The 23054-nt window shown below is 37.5% G+C and overlaps 1 protein-coding gene across 2 annotated transcripts in view, besides 1 other annotated feature; it reads right to left on the bottom strand.

Moving 5' to 3' along the window:
* NUP205 (nucleoporin 205) overlaps positions 1 to 23054 on the bottom strand; it is a 90837-nt gene that overhangs the window by 11111 nt on the left and 56672 nt on the right. For both annotated transcript variants that reach the window (NM_001329434.2, NM_015135.3), the window contains exons 24-36: positions 21578 to 21727; positions 20917 to 20988; positions 20396 to 20553; positions 19961 to 20041; positions 19040 to 19231; positions 17953 to 18220; positions 17755 to 17853; positions 14718 to 14866; positions 12288 to 12479; positions 11282 to 11403; positions 9532 to 9670; positions 7173 to 7299; positions 1986 to 2062 (exon numbers count right to left, since the gene is read on the bottom strand). In NM_001329434.2, the coding sequence (NP_001316363.2) occupies positions 1986 to 2062; positions 7173 to 7299; positions 9532 to 9670; positions 11282 to 11403; positions 12288 to 12479; positions 14718 to 14866; positions 17755 to 17853; positions 17953 to 18220; positions 19040 to 19231; positions 19961 to 20041; positions 20396 to 20553; positions 20917 to 20988; positions 21578 to 21727 (1826 nt within the window). The remainder of the gene's footprint in view (positions 1 to 1985; positions 2063 to 7172; positions 7300 to 9531; positions 9671 to 11281; positions 11404 to 12287; positions 12480 to 14717; positions 14867 to 17754; positions 17854 to 17952; positions 18221 to 19039; positions 19232 to 19960; positions 20042 to 20395; positions 20554 to 20916; positions 20989 to 21577; positions 21728 to 23054) is intronic.
* Positions 19568 to 19862: a silencer, noted in NCBI's record as "tiled region #5720; K562 Repressive DNase matched - State 15:Elon". NCBI's record gives its function as "represses a minimal TATA promoter and a strong SV40 promoter by Sharpr-MPRA in K562 cells {active_cell/tissue: K562}" and the evidence as "EXISTENCE:reporter gene assay evidence [ECO:0000049][PMID:27701403]".

Genomic DNA, 23054 nt, shown 5'->3' with positions numbered 1-23054 from the left:
TATTAATTCTTTGGAAGATACTCATTAAATGAAAAACAAGTTTATAAACAAAAGAGAAGCAAAATGAGAGGGCAGTCACAAGATGGACACGTTTGTGATAATTTTGTCTACCAAGGCACAAATCTAAAAGCTGTTACTCCTGTGGTTGCTCCCAGGGACTTCATAAAGGGGTTACAAACACACAGATCACCTTGGAAGATAAATGCAAATGTCCCCAGTTTCAAATGTTAATACTTCTCACCTGAGAATACAGTATTTCCCATGGTTCTCAAAGAGAAAGGACAAGCTTTTCAATATTGGCAGTATATCCAGAGGTTAGCCGATGGCTTTCAAATTAGAGACATGGGTTCCAATAACAGGTACAACTTTTTGCTCTGTGACCTGGAATTTCTCACGCCTGCATGTTCACATTTCTAAAGTGGTAATAACAATTCCTATCTTATAAGATGGCTGTCAGGATTCCCTGAGACATGGTATTATATTTAAAGTGCTTAGCACAATGTTCTGCACATAGTAAGTGTATTTTAAATGAAACATATATTTTAAAAATTGGTAATACAATATACAGATTTAGATACATAGAGAGGTATACACGTACATAATACACACTGTCTTATTATTTTATTTATTTATTTTGGAGACAGTCTCTCACTCTGTTGCCCAGGCTAAAGTGCAATGGTCTGATCTCAGCTCACTGCAACCTCTGCCTCCTAGGTTCAAGTAATTCTTGTGCCTCAGCCCCCCAGGTAGCTGGGACTACAGGCGTGCACCACCACACATGGCTAATTTTTGTATTTTTAATAGAGATGGAGTTTAGCCATGTTCCCCAGGCTGGTCTCAAACTCCTGGCCTCAAGCGATCCACCCACCTCAGCCTCCCAAAATGCTAGGATTACAAGAGCGAGCCATCCCACCCGGCCACTGTAAGTTTCGATAAGGCAAAACATATTAATGAGACTATAATATAAACTTATTTTGCCAAAATAGTTCTATCTATGTTTAACATTTATAAATGTGTGTTTGCCGCTTCTTACAGATAAAATAGATGCATTCAAACATTTCCGAAGCTCACCTTATGAAAGATCCATCAAAAAGGTGTCTTCCTCCATACCAATAAAAGATGACTTAAAAAACCCAAAGTATTTGGGTTTTGTGGGTGAGAGTACAATCTTTTCTGGAATGCTGTTTGACAATTATGATTTCAAAATGATGTACTATGTGTATACCCTCGGTCCCAGTGATACCATGTGTTATTTAATCCAGAGTAAAATATGTACACAAAAATGCTAATAGTAGCATTTTTCTTATGAAATCTTGAAAAACAGCGCATGAAAAAAGGACTAGTTAAGAAAATTGTTGTATCAAAAACAATGGGATATAAACACTAGTACATAAATACAATTACTCTGCAGTCAATACAAAGTAAAGATGCTCAGACCAAACCAGGCCAAGAGGCTCCCAGAAAGACTGATAAAATATCTAATTGACAAACTAATATGTTAGAACATATTGAGAGGAGATTACAGAGCTTGTAAAGAATCTGGGGATAAATTAGTAATAAGTACATAAAAACCAAGCAAATAAAAAAGAAAACTCTAGGGCAAACAGTCTGCTCGTGGCTTATTCACAAATGACATTTACACAGTCATAATAATGTAACACTAAATATTAATGTAACCAAAACTATGATGTAATTATATTGAGTTTCAGGGGGTGTTATGGGAAATGTATACATTGTATGATGGAAGAAAAGGAGTAAAAACATCTAAATTCTCATCTCCTCCCCATCCCCCAACAATGGAAAGTCAACAGATGATTACTAAAATTAGAAAATCAAGAAGCAGCAATATAAGCATATTATTTAGAAAAACTAAAGAACCAAAACAGTTGAAAGGGGTTTCCCAAATCTAGGGGGCACAATGGGGAGGATGGTATATTTTGTAACATGTCTTATAACTGCTATTTAAAGAAATAAGAATCAGTTACCTGGAATCTTCCAATATGTCCCTGTAGCTCCATTAGAGACCCTTCATTTACATCAACGTCAAGTTCACTTAATATTCCTATAAAATGTAGAATGCTTTAAAACATATTATTATAATAAACAAAAACATTAAAAACTAGGAAGAGAGGTTCTAATATTTTATATTGTTTATGTGCATGAACAGATATTCTTGCCATAAAAAAGTTTTGAGAACTATGATTTTACAAAGACTGTAAGTACCTGTTATATATTAATAACAGCACCGGTACATGCGCATTCAAAGCCAATCTAAAATGCAGAGTGAAATGATCTTAAAAGGCATTTTTAGTTTTCAAGAAAAATCTAATTTTTTTATAATGATAAAAGTAATTTTCTAAATTACTTTCTCATAAAGGAGTTTTTAGAATATGAAACAGTAAGAATAAAATGCATTTCTTTTTAACACCTCTAAATATACATAATTTGCTTTTGCTTTTCCCCTAGGCAAAGTACAATTTACAAAGAAAACAAAAACATTTCCATTCAACTTCTTAGTTTGGACCCGTTACAAAATTCCTAAATCGAAATGACCCACCTCTAATAGTGCCATAGCCTCTCCTGATTTCTAATGAGCCTGCCAGTGACCATAACATGTCATTCTCCCCATCAGTTTGTTTCCTTGTTCCATCACTAATCATGCTGAGGAATACCCACCTAAACCTATCCTAGCCACTCAAATTTCCTATGTATTTTCAGATTCCTTTAATTCACTTCGTACTCACTTCCAAGCATAGACTCCATAGCACATAACCAAGAACCTGATCCTTCTCTCCTCATAATGACAAGTCCTCCTCTTTTTAGATTAGCTCAGCCCTCAACACAAACTGACAGAAAATCCTATCATCTGGTACATGTGGGCTCGTTATACCTCTATCCGTGCCTCACCGCTTCCCGAGAGCTTATCCTGTCCCACCTTCAACTCCTCTGAGAGTCTCCTCCCAGGATCGCTTTCTCTTCTAACATACTAACATCTACCCTGCCACAGAAGAGTTTTCCTATTTGAAAATAGGCTAAAGTCTTTCTTGTACTCCAAAACAAAACCAAGCAAAAACTTGGTTAGTATCAATTTTTGGAAAGTTTTTCTTCAGTTGCTGCTTGTATTCATAATTCTTATGCCCTCCTTTCCCATCTGAACTCCTTGAAACCTTGATTTTGCACCTAACGCTATCATGAAACTAAGACTTTTTTTCCTCTTTGTCCTCAAACTTGCTGAACTCTGCACCAGGTATTGCTGTTCCAAAGTTCACTTTCCCCTGCATGTCAACTGCTGCCTCAATTTAAAAGGACTTCCAGTTCTCAGGTTCCGTAAGATCTTTCTGCTAAATGCCATCTAACTATTCTATGTATATCAATCACTCTCAACTCCAAAATACTTTTCAGAATATCTGTGAGCCAGCTGGGCATGGTGGCTCACATCTGCATTTTGGGAGGCTGAGGTGTGAGGACTGCTTGAGTCCAGGAGTTTGAAACCAGCATGGACAACATGGTGAGGCCTCATCTTTATCTGAAAAAATGAAATTAAAAAATATATATATCTGTGAGTCACAGAAACAAAATAAATCTGCTGATAAGATTTGTGGAGGTACAACATACACGGTAGTGGGCTAGGCAGCATGGGGGATACAAAGTTACAAACAGAACTGCAATCTAATGGGAGCGTTTAAGACAAATGTGCATAAATTATAGCAAATTATAGGATAATACAGGGCTGAACTGTACACAACAGGGTTGATAGTAGTATAACTTGTTTAAAAGTGTTTTCAAAAGCTTGGGAGGATATTTGGTATTATTTTTAACAAAAATGTTAAGCACATATATTTCTGATAAAGTACTGCCAGGAATTTATCAAGTCTTATCAGTTCAAATGGACAAAAATGGGGCCGGGTTCAGTGGCTCACGCCTGTAATCCCAACACTTTGGAAAGTTGAAGTGGGAGGATTGCTTGAGGCCAGAAGTTTGAGACCAGCCTGGGCAACATAGTGAGACCTTGTCTCAACAACAAAAAATTAAAAATTAAAAAAGTAATAAAAATAAAAACAAATGTAAAAAATGTTCATGAATGCATATGTAAATATATAGCTAGAGGTAAACAGATAAGTACACACACACATATACACACAAAATTATTAAATGCCACACTGTTTAAAATTTTAAGAAGCTTGGAAACAGTCAACATGTCATAGAATCTGATTAAAAAACAAAGTACTAGCTAGGCATGGTGGTGTGTGCTGTATTCTCAGCTACTTGGGAGGCTGAGGCAGGAGGATCATTTGAGCTCAGGCGTTCCAGCTATGATCATGCCACTGCACTCCAACCTGGGTGACAGAGTAAGACCCAGTCTCTAAAACAAACAAATAGGCCAGGCGTGGTGGCTCCTGCCTGTAATCCCAGCACTTTGGGAGACTGAGGTGGGAGGAATGCTTGAGGCCAGGAGTTCGAGAACACCTGGGCAACATAGCAAGACCCTGTCTCTACAAAAAATAAAAAATTAGCTTGGTGTGACAGCATGTGCCTGTAGTCCTGCTTACTTGAGAAGCTGAGGTGGGAGGATCACTTGAGCCAGGTAGGTCGAGGCTGCAGTGAGCCACGATTGCAGCTTTGCACTCCAGCCTGGGTGACAAGAGTGAGACCCTGTCCCCCCAAAAATAAAAACAAAAACAAACAAACAAATAAAACAAGGGTCTGGTTAACTATCTCACAACTGGAAAACCAGGCAGTCAATTAAAAAGGATGGGCAGGAGCTGTATGTGCTGATGAGAAAAAATCTCATGGAGACCCTGCAATTTACAGAAGTACATTGAGAGTAATTAGTTAAGTCCTGGAAAAAATCAAAGGAAAAACCATTAGGAGTTCCACCCCACAACACTACAGGACCTTAGTAGAGACAAGAAGGGTGGCCTGACTTGGTATCATCTTAGGACACTGGAATGAACTGGTGAACGAAGCACACCACAGGCTGGGTGGAATAGACCCTGGGATCTCCTTGGAAGAAGCACAGGCTCCAAGTAACTCAGCTGGCACTGTACTCAGCCCTGGCCAACTCTCAACGTCTCTCAACCCAGAGGGCTCAGCCACCGAGACAGCCCAGACAAAAAAAATTATTGGGGATTATAGGGTGGATTCAGAGGTTGCCTCAGACATCTCCAAAGCAACATAAAAATGGAGGTAGTGTAGCCTCGTAGTTACATATATAGATTCAAAAGACGTACTGCCTGGGAAACTCTATACTATGCAGTGTTATCTGTGTGACTTTGGACAAGTTAACCTCCCTGTGCCTCAGCCTCCTCAGCTGTAAAATGTGGATAATGACAGTTCTACCTCATAAGACTGCTGTGTCTTCCAATCAATTAACATGTCAAGTATTTAAAACAGTACCTGGCACATACATGCTTAATAAATGCCAGCTACTATCATTTATATTACATATTCTAAGCAAAAGAAAATCATAATCGGCCGTCCTGTCATTAAAGAACAAAGACAACCTTCAGACATTCTTAGAGAATTTCAGGAATATGAGACAGCATGCTTTTTCTTGAGGGAAGGAACCTCAGTACAAATTAAAAATACCAAGAGATAGGCCGGGCGCGGTGGCTCAAGCCTGCAATCCCAGCACTTTGGGAGGCCGAGGCGGGCAGATTACAAGGTCAGGAGATCAAGACCTGGCTAACACGGTGAAACCCCGTCTCTACTAAAAATACAAAAAATTAGCCAGGCGTGGTGGCGGGCGCCTGTAGTCCCAGCTGCTCGGGAGGCTGAGGCAGGAGAATGGCGTGAATCGGGGAGGCGGAGCTTGCAGTGAGCCGAGATCGCGCCACTGCACTCTAGCCTGGGCGACAGAGCAAGACTCCGTCTCAAAAAAAAAAAGAAAGAAAGAAAGAAAGAAAAAAAAAAATACCAAGAGATAAATCAAAAGAAAGAACTCGTGAATGGTGACGCCATGGTGGGGAACACAACTGGTGTTTTGCAGTGAATCCATGTAAATATACAACTAAAACTAAGTAGCTGAGGATATTATGGTTGCATAACAGATGTAAATGTTACAAAACCTGACAAGGTTAAAATGATATAAGCAAACATCATCTGAGGGTGGAAGAGGAAGTGTAAAAGAAGTCATCATTTCATCTTTCCCATCAGGGAGTTAACTGATTCAAAATTTACATGTAGTAAAGAAATTATAAGGGGGGAAAGTAACCAAAGTATCTTAATAATGTTTCATAATGTTTTTCCTTACTCGCAGTGATCTTTTAAAAGGTGACATACTCTAGTAGTAAAGAAACATTTGTCTGGAATTTGGCAATTCCTTTCGTTTCTCTTCAATTAGATTTTTGTCTGTGTTCATGTAAAATTCACATGTATACCTATGTAACAAACCTGAATGTTGTGCACATGTACCCTAGAGCTTAAAGTATAATAAAAAAATAAATAAATTCATGTAAAATTAAATATTTGTTTTTTAAAACAGCATGTAAAAGGTCATCCTATTCTCATTAGTTGCCTCTGTATGTCTCTGTTGCTTTCTTTCTCTCTCTCCCCCTCCCTTTCTCATATGTACGTACACATAAAGCAATGTTTGAAAATTTATCAAATGTCAACATTTGGTAATTTCTAGGTGGTGAGATTTTGAGTGTTAGTTATCTCCTTTTGAATATTTTTATAATAAGCCTATATCTTAAAAAAAAAAAACAAAACAAAACAGAGACGGAGTCTTGTTCTGTTGCCCAGACTGGATTGCAGTGGCATAATCTTGGCTGACTGCAGTCTCAACCTTCCCAACTCAAGTAATCCTCCTACCTCAACCTCCCAAGTAGCCAGGACCACAGGTGAATGCCCCAACACCCAGCTAATTTTTAAAATTTTTTGGTAGAGACAGGGTGTCTCTATGTTGCCCAGGCTGGTCTTGAACCCTTGGCCTCAAGCAATCATCCTGCCTCAGCCTTTCAAAGTGATGAGATCACAGGCATGAGCCACCACACCCAGCCAAGCATGTATCATTTTATAAACATAAACTTATTACATAAATAAAGGCTCTGTTAGCAGTACCAATTTCAAATAAGTCATATATAGCTGCAAAGTAACAAAAAAACTCATTCTATTAATTTATGTCAGTCTTTAAAGAATTATTAAAAATCCTTTCAACATAATCAACTCACCAGGAAGTGCTGCTTTACTTATAATTCCTGTCAGCAGAGCCAATTCCTGCAAAGACCCAGCACTAACATCCTGACAGCGCAGAATTGCTTGTATGGTATCAGAATGTGAAATAAGAAACTGCAATACCTAAGCCATTGAAAAGGAAGAGGAATAGAAAAAACAGGTAGAAGTAGAAAATTATATATAAATGCATAATTCATTTTATAAATAATGTTGAAGGAAGTAACCTTCAACTTTACCATAATACTCAGTAATACAATACTCAGCCTCACAATAAGTGAGGATGAGTAACAGATAAGCAATTGTTTTCTGCACTCACATATTTATCTCTTCAGGAAGTAAACATTTAAAATTCACAAGACTAAAGGATTATTTTAAAGCTTATAAGTTAATACATTTGGAGACTACTGTAGAAGAATATAACTCAGAACTACTGTATGAAAACTATTATCTGACCCCTATTTTCTTTATTGTTTGGCCAAATGAACTAGAGTAAGAATGTAATATAAATGGGTATAAAAATGACTAGTGAATTCAAGAAGCTGTTCTATGAAACAGTAACTAGCATGACATGGGGAAATCACATAAAAGCTTTTGTCTAATTCTTTTTTTAAAAAAATTCATTTTTATTATAATAGAGATAGGAACCAGGCATGGTGGCTCACGCCTGTAATCCCAGCACTTTGGGAGGCTGAGGCGGGTATCACCTGAGGTCAGGAGTTTGAGACCAGCCTGGCCAACATGGTGAAATGCCATCTCTACTAAAAATACAAAAATTAGTCAGATGCAGTGGTGCACACCTGTAATTCCAGCTGCTCAGGAGGCTGAGGCACAAGAATCACTTGAACCTGGGAGGTGGAGGTTGCAGTGAGCTGGAATCGTGCCACTGCACTCCAGCCTGGGTGACGAAGTGAGACTCTGTCTCAAAAAAAAAAAAAAAGAGAGACAGAGAGAGAGACAGAGAGAGAGAGAGAGAGAGAGAGAGAGAGAGAGAGAGAGATAGGGTCTCACTATGTTGCCCAGGCTGGGCTCAAACTCCTGGCTAAAGTGATCCTCCCACCTTGGCTTCCCAAAGTGCTGGGATTACAGGCATGGGCCACCACACCTGGCCATAACTCTCCTTTTGATGCGGTTAAAAAAAGGAGATATAAATCCTGACCTCCCAGCTCTACCCTTCCACTTTGGCATTTTATAATGTACACTCATGGAGTCCTCTTTCAGTATTTTCACTTAGGAATATCTCAACTAGCTTACAAACATTTTAAAGGCAGACTATATGCCAAAACAAGCCAAGGATGTGAATCACTCAGAATTGTGATCATTTTTGTTTTTTAATAAAGATTCCTAGCCTAAGCTTATAATGTCTGGTCACAGAACTCAGTCATCTGTGCTTCTCTAAGAGGCTCCTCAGGTGATTCTGCTTCAGTCAATACAAGATTGGTGTTAGGGAACCAGTGTCTTATATCATAATGTCCCACTTCTACTAAAAAATCTTAATCTCAATCTAGGGGAAGAAAGGCAAAGTCTCTGAGTTTTAAAAAGTACTAACTTGAAGACCACATAGGCCTAAAAGAAGTAGGACGTCAACCCAGATTGCTATGATATAAAATAAGGTGCCACTTTAGAACAGCAGCATCTACCTTGGTGAGATGGCCTAAGGCCTGATGGTAGAGAAAGCAGAAAAAATTACCAGAAATCAAAGTGTTTTAGGACACAGTTCCAAAATACAATAAAGCAATACAAGGTTGTAGATTCATGATAAGCCTAATCAATCAGTGAAAGGCTAAATTACATATAATATTAATTTTTAAAAAAATGTGTGTTGGAATGTTAGTGTTTCACTGAAAAGTAATCAAAATAAAACTAATTTCTGGTATTTAAAAAAATTTTGACAGCAAAATCACTCATTTAAATTATTTCATTCTCTATCATATATAAATGCAGTATTATCATCTGTCAGTCTCCCGAAGTGCTGGGATTACAGGCGTGAGCCACCATGCCCAGCCTGCAAGGCCTAGCATAGCCCTCTCTCAATAGATACCTGGTTAAATTACACTTTAGAAGCCAGCTTACTCCTATCACAATAACTGCTTTCTTTTATAGAAGAACAAATTTCAATCTCTTGTTTCCTGTCTTATGATTCTATTAATTAGCTACAGTGTTTCATTCAAACAACAGTATAAAAATGGACCAATGTAGTTAAGAACAAAGTACAGGGGCCTCTTTTCTCTACCCTGCTCTGCCACAAACATTAGGACTAACGTAAATTCACTTAAGCATTCTATGTGTGTAAGGTTTCTGTACTTGTAAAATGAGGATTTTGCTCTAGACAATATCTAAACAAAGGGTTCACCTTACCTGCCCTGCTGCCTGCAAGTGCTGGGCCATACTAGATGTGAGGATGACCTGGCACAGCTGGAGAGCTGGGAGGAGAATCTGGCGGTAGCGATCCACTGGGGTAGGGATGAACATTGGAGGGTCTCTCATGCCAAACATGCTTATTTCAACCAAACAAGGAGAAAACATTCCAAGAATTAAGGTATACTCTCGGCAATTCCTTAACACTGATATGGCAAATAAATCAGAGCCGGCTGATTAAGATGTGAATCAACTAGTGAGTACTCTGCATCCCATATATACATCCGCGGTCCAGAGAAAGATGTGTCTTCCTAAACTCATAGCTTAGTTAGTAAAAACAGTTATTTGAATTCTGAAAAATCTTATCGAGGAAAACCTATGTAATTTGACAAGATAATGCTTGAAACTTCCAAAACATTTTTATTCTTCTCTAAAGCTTCCTTGGGCCATATAGGCTGTTAAGTAAGAAACAGATTTAAAAAGCTACTTTCCCTAAAATTCTCTCTCCTCTACCCAAGCCAAAAATCCACTATGCTGCCCATTGTATAGGGTGAGTACCACTTACCCAAAATGCTTGGTACCAGCAGTGTTGCAGATTTTTTTGGATTTTGAAATATCTGCATTATACATACTTACTGGTTGAGCACCTCTAATCTGAAAATCCAAAATCCAAATTGCTCCAATGGGCATTTCCTTTGAGCATCATATTGGCACTCAGAAAGTTTGAGATTTAGCAGCACTGCAGATTTCAGATTTTCAGATTAGAGAAGCTCAATCTGTATAAAAATAAAACAAGATTTAAGAGTCAAAATGAGGCTGTAAAATCACTTAACCTTTCAGAGTAGGTCTCAGAACATCGTATTAATAAGCTAATATTTATTGTTAATGTTTATATTTAAATTTTTAGACCAAAAAAATGGCTGCCTATTGAGGGGGAACGAAAGCAGAATAAGAAAATAAGAGACAGGCTTTGCACAGACAAGTGATAATAGCATGCCATGAACTAAAGAGTATTTAACTCAACCCACTTTACCTAAGGTGAAAGTAATAACTCTCATGTTTGAAACTTTAGACCGCAATACTAAAATAAATGTTTTTCCCTGGAGGTAAAACAGTTCTGTAGTTAAGCCTTAAAAATCCAAACATTCAAGTTGCTAATAGATCCTTTTAAAACAATTACTAAACTCAAACTAAGTATTATTTACTTCTAGGAAGGTATGCTATCTACCTAACAATGCTGCAGTCATGTAAACAAAAAAGAAAATCAAATCAAATTTTCCACATTCAAATCGAATGTGAAACTAAGAAATCAGCTGAAAAGCTTGAAACTTGAAAACAATTCCATTTGAAGCTTTTGAATTAGCAAGCAGTAAGCAAAATATTGAAATCAGAAAAAATATATATATAATCTGAAATTCTATTCAAATCATCCGGAACAGGAAATCCATAACAAATTATAATTTTACTACAACTCTTTAAAAGATAGTGTAACTGCAAACAAGTATTTCAATTGAACATAATAATAACATTGGGCAAGTACACATTTACTAAATTCTCTCCCACTCCTACCTACTTTTTCCCTAGTAGCAACTTCCATTTATTAGTAAATGACAGGGGCACAGTATGACCAAAAAAACCCACACCAAGATGAAAGAGAATTGCTAAGCGGCAAAATTATGTTTGGAATTTTTTCTTCCCTTAATAATCCTTTACTGGGAGTTTAACCAAATTAATCTATACAGACACTTACCTCTGCGGGTCCGTTTCTGGGCGCATGTCATAGACTTGGCATTGAGCTAGTCTCACAATCACCCCTGATCTTAGCAGCTCTAATGCACCCTGCTGTATCTTTGCCACTCTTGTGAGAAATGCCTGAGGAGTTACAAGAGAAAAATCATCAGTGCTGAAATCATGTCCAAGGGCCTCAGAGAAAAGTGCAACACTTTGATGGCAAATTTCTCATCCTTAGTTATCACTGAAGAGAAATCTGGGCTAGTGACAGGTTACATTATACCGCTTTCTTCCTAGGATTTTCATGAGGACTCAGTGTTCAACATATCTAAAGCGCCCACAGACAGTAGCTTGCATGATTCAAGTATTCGTTTACAGTGTGGGTCCTGTTATTATCATGTGGGCCCATGGAGGGCAAGGAATTTTGTCTGTTTTGCTAACAGCTGTGTCTCTAGTACCTAGTGCCATGCCTGCCGTTTTGCAGGTATTTAATAAATACCTGTTAAATAAATGAAGGAGGAAAAAGGAGTAAATGAAGAATCTAAAATTTCAGTGCTTCTATTATCGTAACATTTGTGATCCTTTTAACTAGGAGGAAAAAGAAATTAAAACAGATTTGCAGGCAAAGAAACAATGAATTATATACTATATTGAAAATGCTGTGTTTAGAATAGAACTAGCATATCTACATGGAAATTTTCAATAGGCAACTACTATAGTCTAAATTGTATTGTGAGAGGACAATTTTGCTCTGTCCTCACGGAGCACTGGCTGTCATATTGCCATCATGAGCAACCTGAGTGAGTGAGGGAAGCAGCAGTCCCATTATCCAGCTATCCCTTTGAGGATCATTTCACTCATCTTTTGCACACTAGGAAGATTCCAAAGTTTAAAACTCCTTAAAAAAGGATTCCAGCTTATGATAGAAATATTCAGAATGTATGCCACATTAATTTTCTTTAATACATCTATAGCCAAGAGAAAACGACTTCTTGATCTAACATCAAATGTCTAGAAAGCCTTACCATTTTAGATTCATAAGTATAAAGTGCTTTTAAAAGGGGAGGCTGTGGGGTGAGTAAGCTCTGCAAAGTACGGTCATCTTCTACCAAGCTGTCTACGAGGACCTTCAAGTAGCCACTGTTAGAAAGATACAAAAGCCACTGCTGCTGTTTATCCACGGAGACAATTCTATCAAGTAGAGCCAGGGCCAGCATCTGAAGGAAGAATAAATTAAAGTCCAAAACATGTAGATGCTACCAAAATCAACAACAGTAACTGAATTTATCTGACATCAGATATGAAATATGAAGAATGTTTTTCATAAAGAGAATGTTACTTGCAACAAAATTTCCTTTTTATTTTTTTTTGAGAAGTTAAAAACTATGGCTCCAGAACCTCAATTTATCAATAAAGGAAAGCTCTCAGGTAAAGATGTATTTCCAAAACAAAACCTAACACGTTAAACTAGTGGCATTAGATGTATTTTAGTAGACTCTAACATTGCTTGTTAGAGAAAAGAAATTTTTTTAACAGCTGTTTTTTCTCACTGTGAAGTTTTATAATGCTCATTACAGAAAACACAGAAAAATAATAACTAGGTTGGGCACAGTGGCTCACCCCTGTATCCCAACACTTAGGGAGGCAGAGGCAGGTGGAGCACTTGTCAGGAATCCGAGACAAGCCTGGCCATTAAAAAAATTAGGCCGGGAGCGGTGGCTCACGCCTGTAATCCCAGCATTTTGGGAGGCCAAGGCGGGTGGATCACGAGGTCAGGAGTTCAAGACCAACCTGGCCAGGATGGTGAAACTCCATCTCTACTACAAATACAAAAAAAATTAGCTGGGCGTGGTGGTGGGCACCTGTAATCTGAGCTACTCGGAAGGCTGAGGCAAAGAATCACTTGAACCTGGGAGGCAGAGGTTGCAGTGAGCCGAGATCGTGCCACTGCACTCCAGCCTGGGTGACAAAGCGAGACTCTGTCTCAAAAAAAATAAAAATAAAAATAAAAATTACCCCAGCATGGTGGTGCATGCCTGTAATCCCAGCTACTCGGGAGGCTGAGGCAGGAGAATTGCTTGAACCTGGGAGGCAGAGGTTGCAGTGAGCCGAGATCATGCCACTGCACTCTAGTCTGGGCAACAGAGCAAGACTCTGTCTCAATAAAAAGAAAAAAGAAAAAAAAAGTAATAACTACACAATCTGATAAATACAGTTCATCCATTTTGGTCTGTCTCCTACCAGTATTTTTTCTATGCATACAAATATTTTAAAATTTTTAAAACATAACTTAAAAGGTGGCCGGGTGTGGTGGCTCATGCCTGTAACCCCAGCACTTTGGGAGGCCGAGGCGGGAGGATCACGAGGTCAGGAGATCGAGACCATCCTGGCTAACATGGTGAAACCCCGTCTCTACTAAAACTACAAAAAATTAGCCAGGCGTAGTGGCGGGCGCCTGTAGTTCCAGCTACTTGGGAGGCTGAGGCAGGAGAATGGCGTGAACTCGGGAGGCGGAGCTTGCAGTGAGCCGAGATTGCGCCACTACACTCTAGCCGGGGCGACAGAGCGAGACTCCATCTCAAAAACAAACAAACAAACAAACAAAGAAACGTAACTAAAAGGTTATGCCAGTTTATTTTTTAAAATCCTATTTCCTATGGTCTTCAAAAACATGATTTAATTGCTACATAATTTTGCTACATAATTTTCCATTAAGAAGAAGTTATCTTCTCACTGCATCATTACCAGTGTGCCACCATACTGTACAAGAAATATAAATACAAATTCTCCACAAAGCAATTAGGCAGACAAAGATCTATTCAGTACAAGGCAATTTATTCAGCATTCTCTTAACCAAAGATCTTTATTAAGCAGCGTTTCTGTTGTTTCTACCAGTCAACCTCAAAATTAGCAAGAAGATAATTCTGAAAGGCAATTCTGAATTAAGATTCTAACAAAATTAAACACAACATATGAATAAATAAAACAGAAGTCTCAAATTATAGCAAATAAGAAAATACAGTATATTATAAAAAATGATTCTTAATATGTACCATACATTATTAAAAGTTGAATCAATTTATTTTATTTTATTTTTTGCAGCAGGGTCTCACTCTGCAGCCCAGGCTGGAGTGAAGTGCCTCGATCACAGCTCACCGCAAGCAACCTCTGCCTCCTGGGCTCATGCAATTTTCCCACCTCAGCCTCCCAAGTAACTGGGACTACAGGTGCATGCCACCATGGCTGGCTAATTTTTTGTATTTTTTGTAGAGACGGGGTTTCACCATGTTGCCCAGGCTAGTCTCAAACTCCTATACTCAAGAAATCCACCCACCTTGGCCTTCGAAAGCACTGAGATTACAGGCATGAGGCACCACACCCAGCCGTGAATCAGTTTATACCTTAATAAGTCAAAATACTTATTCAATTATAATACTAAATAAGAGTTGCTTTACCCTTCCAATCTCATGACCATCACAAGCATCTCGACAGACCACTTCCATGAGGGCGGCGCCATAACTTTCAATAATGGCTATGTTTTCTCGCTGTAATTTGCTAAATACATCTTCAGGGGCTGTCAGCCTTTCCCACATGGTTTTCTTGGCTAAAAGGATTAAAACAGAAAAAAACACTCCAGTAAAAAGCAGTGTAATAACTGAGTAATTATACCTCACATGCTAGGTATGAGCTAAGGAAGAAAAAAAAAAAACGCAACAAAAAAATCCTTCCATCACTGCTTGTACACAAAGGCCCACTGACCGGTGGGTCCAAGCAGGTTAACTCTAATAACACAATGCACCTATTTCATGCATGTTTCATAACACTAAGATAATAATTGTACCTGGAAAAGGATAAATCATTCTGAAAGAGATCAAAATGAATTACAAGACTCCATGAGAACCAACGTCCTGTATTTATCCTGCTCATCAGTCTTTTTTTTTTTCCTTCTTTTTTTTTTTGAGACAGAGCCTGGCTCTGTCTCCAGGCTGGAGTGCAGTGGCATGATCTTGGCTCACTGCAGCCTCCACCTCCCAGGTTCAAGCGATTCTCCTGCCTCAGCCTCCCCAGTAGCTGGGACTACAGGTGCATGCCACCATGCCCAGCTAATTTTTGTATTTTTAGTACAGATGGGGTTTCATCATGTTGGCCAGGATGGTCTTGATCTCCTGACCTCGTGATCTGCCTGCCTTGGCCTCCCAAAGTGCTGGGATTACAGGTGTGAGCCACCGTGCCCAGCCGCTAATCAATCTTTTATCTTTTATTGAGATCTTTTAAAATTGCCAGGCGTGGTGGCTCACACCTGTAATCCTAGCACTTTGGGAGGCCGAGGCGGTGGATCACTTGAGGACAGGAGTTCAAAACCAGCCTGGCCAACATGGTGAAACCCCGTCTCTACTAAAAATACAAAAAATTAGTGGGGCGTGGTGGTGCACACCTATAATCCCAGTTACTGGGGAGGCTGAGGCAGGAGAATCACTTGAACCCAGGAGGTGGAGGTTGCAGTGAGCTGAGATCGCACCGCTGTACTCCAGCTTGGGCTACAGAGTGAAGCTCTGTCTCAAAAAACAAAAGAAAAGAAAAGAAAATTTAGCTAGAAAGGATCAGGTACAATGTAGACAAAAATTTGCCTCCAAAAAAATCAGATATTTTTATTCTTTTTTTTAGTTGAAATACTTATTAAAAATAAAAGCACACCTATTATAAAAATAAAAGCACAACCATTATACAATGATTAGGAACAGTATGATCATACATTTTATGTAAGACCCACAAACATACTCTTATGTGAGACTCTTTAAAAATTTCACAAGTACATTAAATAAAGCAATAACTTGTATTGGAAACTAATCTCATTTTTTCCAACTGCTACATAGCAGCAGTTTTTAAATTGGCATCTTGATGACTTCTTATAAAAAGCCTATTGTAGAGCCCCACCTAGTGGTTAAGTGGTGACTTGGCCAATTCAACTAAATGGAATGTTAAGAAAAACACACACACAAAAGAAAAATGTGGGAGGTGCTGAGTGGAGAAATCCCATTACTATCTCTTTTCTTAAAAGAAGCTCATGTTTGCTTAAAAAACTTCTCTAAACTATTCTGTTATTTTTCCTCATCTTACAAATATTCTCATGCATTATTTATGTGGGTGCTACATGCCTATAAATCTACCATTTGGCTATTACTACCTTATAGGGTACTATGTATGGCATAAAATACAACCACCATAAGGATAATGAGATCAAGTCAACCTTACGTACACAGTGGTTTTTAACAGTGTATACAAAATAACACTCACAAAGGTGAAGAGCCCAAAGAAAATCCATTATCAGAAGGTGCTCTGACAACTTCTTAACAAATGGCAGAATAACTCTGAATAACTTGATTGAACATCAAATGTCTATAAAGTATATAAAGCATTATATACTGATGTGTTGAACACTTAATAACATTTTCATGTCTTAAGATTAGTTTCAATTAAAAATGCTAACTTTTTAGAAAGCAGCATTTAGCAATATTTTAAATGTGCCTAACTTTTGACCAAGAAATTCCACTTCTTGGAATTTATCCAAACAAAACCTCACTAGTACAAAAAGATACATGTATACTATTGATGAGTTTATACTGGAGAAGGTCATTCATTTGAATCTTTTTAAAATAAAAGTACATACTTTTACACATGGAAATTCCACCATTAAGCAGTATCCTTTTTGAGAAATATAGGCATATAAAAAAAGTTGATGTAGCATTTTTGTAATAAAAATTTAGAAACAATTGAAATGCCTGTGAATAAGGAAAATGGCAGATAAGTGTTTCATCCATATCATGGAATAACAAAGACTTTTGTGTTTCTTTTTGAGACAGAGTTTCACTCTTGTTGCCCAGGCTGGAGGGCAGTGGCGCAATCTGGGAAACCTCTGCCTCCTGGGTTCAAGCGATTCTCCTGCTTCAGCCTCCTGAGTAGCTGGGATTACAGATGCCTGCCACCATGGCTGCTAATTTTCTGATTTTTAGTAGAGATGGGGTTTCACCATATTGGCCAAGCTGGTCTCGAACTCCTGACCTCAGGTGATCCACAGGCCTCGGCCTCCCAAAGTGCTAGGATTACAGGCGTGAGCCACCATGCCAGGCCGAGATATTTTAAAAGAATCAACTAGATAAGTACTCTGATGTAGCACAAAGGAAAGAAAGACATTGGACCATTCTATGTAGAGCACACTGTTCAGTCGGACTTGAGGCAAGTGAGGGAGTTACAGAAGTATATAAAGCTAAAGTATTATTTGAAGGTTATCTTAAAAGTAGTACTCATGTACTACTTCATAATTCTTAAAAACTAAACATTCTTCCTCAACTTTTGAGTAAATGCTTTAAAAATGACACTAACACTCATTTTTTACAGTTGTGATTAGTCAAAAGATGGAGAAGTGATTTTTTTTTTCAATTTAAAGTAACCATCTCCCAATCCAGAAAAGATTAGGAATTGATCTCATTCTACCTGCTTCTAAGGTGTCTGGTTCATCAGGTCTCTGGGCAATCTGTAAGTAATAAAGCAGAGAGCCATACAAGTGAGTCCTCACTCGTTGGAATCCACCACCTAGGGAGATTAGGAAGATGTCAAATGAAAATCTTTTCTCAATTAAAGTTAAAACAAATACAAAAGATAGAATTTATAGACAATTTAAATGAAAAAAACCTGTCTTCAAAATGAAGTCTAACAGTTTCTTCAATATGATGTAAAGTGAAGAATCTCCAATAGAAGCAAAACCCACTAATGGGTTCTCTTCAGGAGGAGGTGAGGTGAAGCAACTATCAAGCATAAAAGCGTAATGGGCCTCTGCTGGTCCCAAGACTGATGTTTCCTTCTGTTCAGTGAGGACGGCCTGGCTTAGGTGAGCAGTCAGTGTGAACACTGCCCCGGCGACCACAGGCATTAACTCTTGCGCAGCTTCATCATCCAGTATCTTAAAGGACAAGGGCAAATTAGAGTGAGAATCCTGCTTTCAGCTATAATCATTAACAAATTTCATAGCTTTTTTTTTTTGAAGACAGGGTCTCGCTCTGTCACCGAGGCTGGAGTGCAGTAGCATAATCTCAGCTCACTTCAGCCTTGACCTCCTGGGCTCAGGAGGTCTTCCCACCTCAGCCTCCCGCAACTGTGACTACAGGTGCACACCATCATGCTCGTAGAGATGGAATCTCACTATGTTGCCCAGGTTGGTCTCAAACTCCTGGGCTCCAGTGATCCTCCCACCTTGGCCTCTCAAAGTTCTGGGATTGCAGGCATGAATCACTGCACACAGCCCATTAACAAGTTTTATATACATTTAGCTTGTCAACTATGGTAACAATATAAGAATGGAATACAGAAATTAGTCAAGAAAGAAAGAAAGAAAGAAAGGAATCTAATATATACAGAGAAATTTAAACATGATGCTAGGTAATGGGTGTTCTTAACCAGAAGGGATTCCTATCAGAATTCCCTAGGGAGGTTTTCTTTTTGAAATTCACATAAATGGTCTCACCACTACATTCAGTAGGTCTGGGGTGGGCTCTGTCCATGTGAATTTTTACAAAGCTCCCGAGATAACTCAGACACACACTCTGGTTGAGAGCCACTACTGTACAGAATTAATCCCTTTCTCAAGGAAAGTCTTAACGTTGGTATTGCACAATTCTATTTTACTCCCAATCGAAAATGGAAAACAATTAGGATGCCAAAATATATTTGTTTAAATGATACATTCGTTCAGCAGTATAAAGTATTTTAGGAAGTACGTCACCTTATCATGCACATCTTGTAAAATATCACGAATAATCAGTTGTCGATCCTCTGCCTGAATGAGGTCCTGGGGACAAGCTGTCAGTATAATTTCTACTAGTTGCCTCCACGACTCCAGAGCATGACGTTTTGCATGAAGACACTGCAGCAATTTATTTCTTCCTACCACATACTGAAGTACAGTGCTGATTTCCTAAAGCCACAGGAATTGAATCACAAGGTTAAACAGGCAAATAAGATCAGTTATCTGTCAGTTACTCAGAAAATATTTATTTGGAAACCTACTACATGCATGCCAGGAAGCAGGTATCTTTTCATATTATTTCAGTAGCCAGGGCTATAAAAAATATTAACATATAAGGTGTGTATGTGTGTGTATGTGCATGAAAGGTAGGGGACAGAAGTGGCATAGATAAATATGTATTTTTTGACACCATCTTCTTTCTCCTTGTACCTGTCTACTTATACTTGCTTACTCTAGAGCACTAGAATTATCTAAACTCCAAGTTCAATGGCATGTTTCTCTGACATCTCTTTTATTTCTTTGCCTCTTGCTTTGGCCTGGCCGGCTGTATCTCCATTCATGTGGTTCTTCCCACCTGACCTCTTATCTGTAACTTTCCACTTGTGATGACAAATGACCCTCCTCTCTCACTGATGGGGACCAAGTGAAGTCTAATACGAAATATGGTCAGGTTGCAAATCCTTAACTAGCCTAGCAGAAAAGGTGTTATTTATTTTGGCATACCAGATAGTTCAGTTTATAAAAGTTATAAAATCAAAAGTGAAAGACTCCCTAAATGTTTAATTTTTAGGCAGCTTACTAATTAGCAAACTACATGTCAATATACTATTTTAGTCTTTTCACCAGCAACCTAAGTAGTTAGAAGTTTGAAACGAACACATACTCAATAGAGCTTACCTCCATTAGTAGAGGTCTCTGTCCTATGGCTGCCATACCCTGAAGGGCATTTACTTCAGCTACAAGAACCCTATGAAGAAGCTGGATAATTAGGAAAAGAAAGAAAAATAAGACATTTCAGACACTGGTAGAACAGTAACACCTAGCAATTACCATAAACTGCCCTAAAGGGAAAGGTGTCAGATACCTTTATATATAATCTAACAGGAGCACTGTCCAATTTCCAGACCAAAATATTAAGTATCCCTTTTCAAGAAGTTAGGTGATATATTAAGTTTTATTTCAGGGATATTTTACAAAAATCACAGTCCTTCCTATAAACTACTAAACCAATGTCTCTATCAGAAAGAAAACCTATATGGTTCTATTTGTTTCTGATGACTTAAAGTCTGAGCCACTTGACACTGCAGATATGTACTTTAAAGCAATCCTCACCTTGACATTGCAGACTGTCTGTCCCCGTAAATTCTTGTGTTCACAGTTAGCAATAACTTGTTCAATCTGGGCCCGATCAAAAAAATCCAACTGCAAAGGCTCAGGGATCTCCTGACTGAAGTCAATCGAGTCAAGAATATTTAGAATTTTTCGACGTACTAGAAATAATAAAAAGTAATTTGATTTTACTTGGGACATTGAAAAGAAAGGCAAGCCATCATATTCAGTTGATTTTCAAAGACAGTGCTATTTTCAGAAAGAGCATAAAATAGTCAAGAAACTGAAAACTGTATTGGAATCTAAATTTGATTTTATTTCTGATACATCCATTAACAAAAATATTTTCTTTCCTTTTGTATAATCCTATTATAAAAAAAATTTTCAGGTGGCAATTAATCCTTTATATAACTTTTCTATACCAGTTCAGAGTTTGGAGGCACAGGCATAATAATCCCTTGAAGTTTTTTTTTTTTTAATATATGTCTATAAAATAAATTTATTACAAATTCAAAGGGCATTACCTTTTGTAGCAGTGTCAAAGTGAAGGAACCCAGAAACAGACCTGTTTTCATCTTCTATTCCTCCTTCACCATCTGTTGGAATATCAATAATATTGAATCAGAAAAAGAAGAACATACTCTTAAAACTATTTATTTGGAAATAACAAACACAAGGTATCTTATTTCTAGGTCATTGTTTCTACATCAAAGAGCCCTGTGCAAATGGATAATTAAAATGTAAAGATTGATGAGGATTTACTACCAACATTAATCTAATTATTTCTGTCCCTATGGAATCCACTGCACAATTGTAAAGAGAATAATCAGATTCTCAAAAATGGCAAGACCCAATCATGCCAATGAGATGATTTTAAAAGTTTATGCTTAATTTGCATGAATAATACATACTGAAATAGCTTAGGTCATGCTGGCTCAGTATGACAAACTCCACTGACAATTTTGTATATAATACCGGTATGATTATAGTGTAATATGGATGCTTAAAATAATAATAAATGACAATCATAAGATGAGTTAAAATTTTTGTGTTTTAAGAAAAAAAAATTCTAAAAGTGAGAAGATAGTTTTGGTCTATAGTCACATACTAAGCACAAGCTTCAGATTTGTGCTTGTCTTCACGACAACTAGTCACCAGCACAATAAAACAAATACTAATACTCACCTGAGTATGGTTTCACTGGCATGTCATCCAGTAAGAGGTGTAGGAGCCTCTGGGTATGTGACCGCTGACGATTCAGAGAGGTTACCCTTAGCTCTATTGAGGCAGTTTTCATAAGCCATGACATCTGGTTCAGCATAGATATTTCATATTCTAGAATTTAAACATGTAAATTTTGTTTCCCAGAGTAATAACACAGTATCAAAACAGACTTAAATTCTGTAACTCAACAGATATTTTCCCATGTAACAAAGTCAATAATTTATGAAACTCAGCAACATAATAATTTCTCACTCTGTAAAATTACAAGAGGAAAAAAAAGATACCAAGAAAGAAAAAAATAAGCTAGTATAAATTTACGAAAGATGGGCTAAAGTAAATGAAGAGTAAAAGAGAATCAAGTTTTCATTACTGATTTTAATTTCACAAAGATCCTGAATCTATCGTATTTTGACACTGATATATAAAACAATATTTTAAAGTAATTTTCAAATACATAACTCAAAAAACTATCATAGTTTGGTTTTGATTTCACAAAACAAATACATAAGAAAAATTAAACTTAAATTGCATGATTTTATAATACCTCAATTAATGATGTGGTTTAACATTTAATTAAGGCTGAGAATCACTTATACAATAGTTTTTATTTTTATTTATTTATTTTTTATTGTAGAGACAGGGTCTCACTCTATTGCCCAGGCTGTACTTGAACTCCTTGCCTCAGTGTTCCTCCTGTCTCAGCCTACCTAAGCACTGGGATTATAGGCGCGAGCCACTGTGCCTGGTCCTACAATAAGATTTTTTTAATCCAATACTATTTTAATATGCTTGACATTGAAACCCTAAACTGTGACAGTATAAACATAAAATTAACCATATAACAATACTAATAATAATTTCAGGCAAAGCTAAATGAAGTTTTATAAAACACATACCATAATAGGTAAGATGTTAATTTTTATTTTTAATTAGGTGTAAAGAGGGTTTCTAAAAGCTTCTTAAACAAAATCCCAGAACTAAAAATAAGACACTTATGAAAATAGAGTGAAAAACCTTTTGCCATTAGATAATTCTCAGAGGTCTAACGCCATTACTCTAAAAGGTAAATTAGATGCTGACAATTACTAGTAATAGAAATTTGTTTATGGCATGTGTGAGCCTCAACTTCCTAAAACATAAAGATGACACAAGCTAAACTTTTAAAAAACTCAACAGACTAAGACTGTCTGAATATAGTCTGAATTCAGAAAACTGTTAAAAGTTGGTCAAAAAGAAAATAAAGTAGAATCTCGATAAGACTGCATTAGCCTGGAATAATTGTTAGCCATGTCAATAAACTAAGTTAAAACTGTTTTCTACCATAATTAGTTTTCAACTTTTCATTTCAAGATCTGAATTGGTTTCAATACAAACACAAGAAACAAAAATAAACCAGGATTTTTTTTTTCCTCATAAACAGCCTGGGAAGAGAAAATCA

The sequence above is a fragment of the Homo sapiens genome, chromosome 7, assembly GCF_000001405.40.
Source record: "Homo sapiens chromosome 7, GRCh38.p14 Primary Assembly".
NCBI classification, from domain to species: Eukaryota; Metazoa; Chordata; class Mammalia; order Primates; family Hominidae; genus Homo; species Homo sapiens.
The sequence above is the reverse complement of the archived record's forward strand: the minus strand, read 5'-3'. Positions and strand labels throughout refer to the sequence as shown.